Genomic DNA, 6,018 nt, shown 5'->3' with positions numbered 1-6,018 from the left:
AATCTTTATTATTGTAAGCCACTGACGTCTTGGGGTTGTTTCTTACTATAGCAAACATTGACTAATACAAGTGTTGACTTTATAAGCACACTGTAAGAAAAGCCATAAGCAATATAAACAAAAGGCAGGATGTTTGAATTTACTTTCAAAACAAAAAGATGCTAATGTTATACACAGATTGTGGAATATGCTACAATTGTGTCATCCTTAACACAGCTACTTTTTCACCTTTTAGTAATAGAGTGTATGCATAAGATGCGAATATTTAGGAGCCAGACAGTAACCTATAGGTATGTCTATGTGTCTATATATTTGTGTGATTAATAGCTGTGGATCTGTCATGATTCTTCTTACATTATAAAATTTAAAAGGACAGTGAGTCATTTTTATAATAAAATCTATTGCCATCATTCTAATTCAACCCAAATAACTTAGATGGGACAGAAACTCTGTTTTACCCTAATAAAATAGAACTTAAGGCTTAGTAAATGCTTCAGACAGTTTTCTCTATGTACCAGTGACCACAAAAAAAAAAAAAATAAGTATTGTATGACTACAATGTTACATAACTATATACCACGGATATGTGCGATAATAAAAAGAGCAAGAATACCAAACATGAGTAATTTCCCTCATTTGTAGCAAGATTCTGGTTCAAAAACTGAGAAATATTTCTTGTTCAATATTGTACATTAGTAATGGATCCCAAAACTTTAAAAGCATCTATGACTAACATTTATCCTGCATATGCTTCTGCTATTCTCACTAGACCATATTTGCAATATTATAGGAAGTTGGCTATCTCAAAGTAGACTGTTCTAAAATTAATTATAATGTTGAAGATCTGTGTGTGTGAGGGCAGAAAACATGTAACTGTATAAACCAAAATGATGTTATGCCATTCCCAGGGTGAATAGTTTTATGTACTCTAAAATCATGCAAGAAAGCCTGCTTTTATAAATTGAGAAATGTTTTATAAGCACCAGTGGGATACAAACTTCTTTTCACAAAGACATATATTGACTCATTCCTCAAGTATCTGGTATTTGTGATCTAAATGAAAAGTATTTTTGCAGCTGATTTTTTGCAATAGCTTTTCATTGTACCCTGCAGATGTATTAATGTGTTTTTATCATGTTGACATCTTATTATAAACAAATCCATTTTATGTTAAACTTAGGTGTTTCTCCCATGCATGTATTAAGAGGAAGTTGGGGACTAATTTGCATCAAGGAAGCATCTCTAACAGTTCCTCCAGGAGTCCCTGTAGACTTTTACCAGCTTGAGACTGAATATTTGAGGGGGAGGGGGTCAGGATACAATCATCTAAAATGCAAACAAAAAAAGTGTTTTCCTAAAGTTCTCCGAATTAAAAAGAAAAGAATATGTTTGGGATACAATACACAAATTTATTTGAATTCCTTTGCCAATTCCAAGTGAATCCACAGCCAAACGAATGAAACTTATGGTTGCACAGCTGGAGGCTTATTACTTCTTCATTTTATAAAAACAAAACCACAAGTGATTGTGAACCAGTTGGTCTGAATTTATACTTATAGCAAATAAGTATAAATTACTTCCTCTGCTTTCTCAAGGTGCTGAATGGAAGCATTTGTCATAAATTCATCATAGACTGAATGTATGAGACTGAATATTAAGACTGAAAATACCCTTTTAAGAAGTCATTTTTGCCCATTCATTCTGTTTTGTTCCTTTGTCCTTCTGCTTCTTTATTTATTCAGTCATTTCGCAATAAATATTTATTGAGTTCTTCCCGTGAAGTAGGCACTGTGCTAAATTTTGGGGATACAGTGGTAAATAAAGACAATTTATTTTGGAGGAGCTCCAAAGACAATTCCAGATCTTTCTCAGATTTACTGATCCATTTATTCCTGTTTATTTCCAACACGTAATACAATGAAAACAGTCAAACAGACATGAATTTAATTTGCATTTCATCTTGGGCAAGATGTTTAAATTCTCAGAACCTTAGCTTTCATATCTCCCATCTACCTCAAAGAATGATGGAAAGTGAATTACAAAGATAACCTATAAAACTGCTTGACATTTTGTTCTCCACCCCCACCCCAAATATCACTGTTCCCTACATATGTTGGGTCCTAGAGGTATAAATTGATAGGATACATTTTCTAGCACTGTGCTTAGTTGTAGCTAAGAATATAGAGAAAAAACAAATGATGTTCCTGCCTTCTAGAAGATTACATTTAGAATAATAATGACTAACATTTGATATATACCAATGACTGTTCTGAGCACTATAAATGGATGAACTCACATATCCTCACAATAATGCATGAGAAAGGAATTGTAGGCATCATGTTTTCTGAATGGGGAAGCAGAAGCACAGAAAGTTAACTTGGCCGAAGTCACACAAATAGTGAGTAGCAAGGTAGAATTCAAACCTAGGTGCCTGTCTCTGAAACTTGTTTTCTTAATCACCATACCTCACTGCCTCTCAAGAGGAGGCTATTAAGTACAAGAAAATTACTGTAACTGTTTTATGAGTAGTTTAAGCAGTAAGTGAATGAGAGAAGAGAAATCAGGGGATTTGGTCCAGAACCTGAAAAACTAATCACATTTTAATAGAAAGAAATGTAATGATGAAGAGAGATACTATAGGGCATTTTGGGAAAGTTTTATCACTTTAGAAAATGATTCTTTCATACATCTAACCCAAATATATTATGTTGGACCTCAAATCATTCCATTTAGTGGAGATACGGAACATGTATTTAGAAAAGTAACTAAAAAAATTATTGTTTCTGATTTATAAAAGTAACACATGCTAATAATAGGAAACCTAACACAAATAGCAAAGTATAAAGCAAAACATTTTTAAAAACCACTCCTAGTTTCATCATCCAGAAAAGATAATAACTTTAATATTTAGATATTGTATCAGTCTGTTTTCACACTGCCATAAAGATACTACCCGAGACTGAGTAATTTATGAAAGAAAAAGGTATAATTGACTTACAGTTCCAAATGGATGGGGAGGCCTCAGGAAACTTACAATCATGGTGAAAGGCAAAGGGGAAGCAAGGCATGTCTCACATGGCAGCAGGAGAGCAAGAGAGAGCTCAGCAGAAACTGCCAGACACTTACCAAACAATCAGATCTTGTGAGAACTCTCTCACTATTACAAGAACAGCATGGAAGAAACAGCCCCCATGATCCAATCACCTTCCACCAGGTCTCTCCCTCAACATGTGGGGATTGATGAGATTTGGGTGGGGACACAGCCAAACCATATTATTTTGCCCCTGGCCCCTCCCAAATCTCATGGTTTTTTTTTCACATTTGAAAACCAATCATGCCTTCCCAACAGTCCCCCAAAGTCTTAACTCGTTCTAGCATTAACTCAAAAGTTCAAGTCCAGCCAGGCACAGTGGCTCACACCTGTTATTCCAGCAGTTTGGGAGGCCAAGGTGGGCAGATCACCTGAGGTCAGGAGTTCGAAACCAGCCTGGCCAACATGGTGAAACCTCGTCTCTACTAAAGATACAAAAATTAGGCAGGCATGGTGGCAGGCGCCTGTTTTCTCAGCTACTTGGGAGGCAGAGGCAGGAGGCTCATTTGAACCTGGGAGGCAGAGGTTGCAGTGAGCCGAGATTGTGCCATTGCACTCCAGCCTGGGCAACAAGAGTGAAACTCCATCTCAAAAAAAAAAAAAAAGTTCAAGTCCAAAGTCTCATCTGAGGCAAGGCAAGTGTCTTTCACCTATGAATCTGTAAAATCAAAGGCAAATTAGTTATTCCAAGATGGGTGGTACAGGCTTTGGGTAAATGTTCCCATTCCAAATGGGAGAAATTGGCTAAAACAAAGGGTCCACAGGGCCCATGCAAGTCCAAAGCCCACTAGGGCAGTCAGTAAAACTTAAAGCTCCAAAATAATCTCCTTTGACTCCAAGTCTCACATCCAAGTCACACTGATGCAAGGGGTGGGCTCCCAAGGCCTTGAGCAGCTCAGCCCCTGTGGCTTTGCAGGGTTCACGCCCTGCAGCAGCTTTCATGAGCTGGCATTGTGTGCCCGTGGCTTTTCCAGGCGCATAGTGCAAGCTGTCTGTGGATCTACCATCTTAGGGTCTGGAAGACAGTGGCCCTCTTCTCATAGCTCCACTAGGCACTGCCCCAGTGGGGACTCTGTGTGGGGGCTCCAAACCCACCTTTATCCTTTTCACTGCCCTAGCAGAAGTTCTTCATGAGGACTCTGCCTCTGTTGCAGACTTCTGCCCGGACATCCAGGTGTTTCCCTACCTCCTCTGAAATCTAGGCACAGGTTCCCAAAGCTCAGCTCTTATCTTCTGCTCACCTGCAGGCCCAACACCACATGGAAGCCATCAAGACTTAGGGCTTGCACCCTCTGAAGCAATGGCCTGAGATGTACCTTGGCCCCTTTTAGCCAGAGCTGGAGCTGGAGCATGAGATGCAGGGCACCAAGTCCTAAAGCTGTTCCGGTGAGAAAACCATTTTTCCCATGGGGCTTGTGATGGCAGGGGCTGCCATGAAGATATCTGACATGCCCTGGAGACATTTTCCCCATTGTCCAGGCTACCAACATTTGGCTAGTCATTACTTAGGCAAATTTCTGTGGCTAGCTTGAATTTCTCCCTAGAAAATGGGTTTTTCTCTTCTGTCACATGGTCAGGATGCAAATTTTTCAAACTTTTATGCTCTGCTTCCCTTTTAAACCTAAGTTTCTCGTCTCCATCTGAGACCACCTCAGCCTGGACTTCATTGTCCATATTTCTATCAGCATTTTGGTCAAAACCATTCCACAAGTCTCTGGGACTTTCTAGACTTCCAAACATCTTCCTATCTTTTTCAGAGGCTTCCAAACTGTTCCTACCTCTGCCTGTTACCCAGTTCCAAAGCCACTTGCATATTTTCACGTTATCTTTATAGCAATGCCCCACTCTTTGCGGTACACATTTCCTGTATTCATCACTTTCACACTGCTATAAAGAATAACTGAGACTGGGTAATTTATGAAGGAAAGATGTTTAATTGACTCACAGTTCTGCATGGCTGGGGAGGCCTCAGGAAACTTACAATCATGGTGGGAGGCAAAGGAGAAGCAAGGCACATTTTACATGGTGGCAGGAGAGAGAGAGAGTGTGCAGGGGAAACTGCCAGACACTTATGAAACAACCAGATCTCATGAGTCTCATGAGAATGCCCTCATTATAATGAGAACAGCATGGGGGAAACTGTCCCCATGATCCAATCACCTGCCTTGACACATGGGAATTGCAACTGGAGATGAGATTTGGGTAGGGACACAGCCAAACCATAACAGATATATTTCCTTTAATTCTCTTTTCTGTGCATATTGTATTAAATATATTTTTAAATAAAAATTGACAAGGGACTTATATGTAGTTTTCAGTTCTGCTCTTTTCACCGGATTTTTTTTTTTTTTTTTTTGAGACGGAGTCTCACTCTGTCGCCCAGGATGGCGTGCAGTGGCACAATCTCAGCTCACTGCAACCTCCATCTCCCGGGTTCAAGTGATTATCCTGCCTCAGCCTCTTGAGTAGCTGGGATTACAGGCACTCGCCACCATGGCTGGCTAATTTTTGTATTTTTAGTAGAGACAGGGTTTCACCATGTTCGTGGCGATCTCCTGACCTCAAGTGATCTGTCCGCCTCGGCCTTCCAAAGTGCTGGGATTACAGGTGTGAGCCCCCATGACTGAACTCACCTGATGTTTTATCCAAAGCAACAAATACTACTTTTTCATTAATGTCCCAACAATCCCTATAGTCTGTTTCTGCTTTATTTTCTAGTATGTGGTATTTAGTAGCTAATGTTTACTAACACTTATCACCACCTACATGCTGCACTTTTTAAAATCTTTGTCTATCTCCTCTCCCACTCCTCTATACACATACAAGAAAATAATATCCATGAAGACAAGAATATATTTATTTTGTTCTCTACTGTATCCCCAGTGCCTAAAATAGTGCGGAGCCCATGGCTGGTACTCTATTTGTTG

The sequence above is a fragment of the Homo sapiens genome, chromosome 1 (assembly GCF_000001405.40).
Source record: "Homo sapiens chromosome 1, GRCh38.p14 Primary Assembly".
NCBI classification, from domain to species: Eukaryota; Metazoa; Chordata; class Mammalia; order Primates; family Hominidae; genus Homo; species Homo sapiens.
This window is presented reverse-complemented; position numbering follows the sequence as displayed.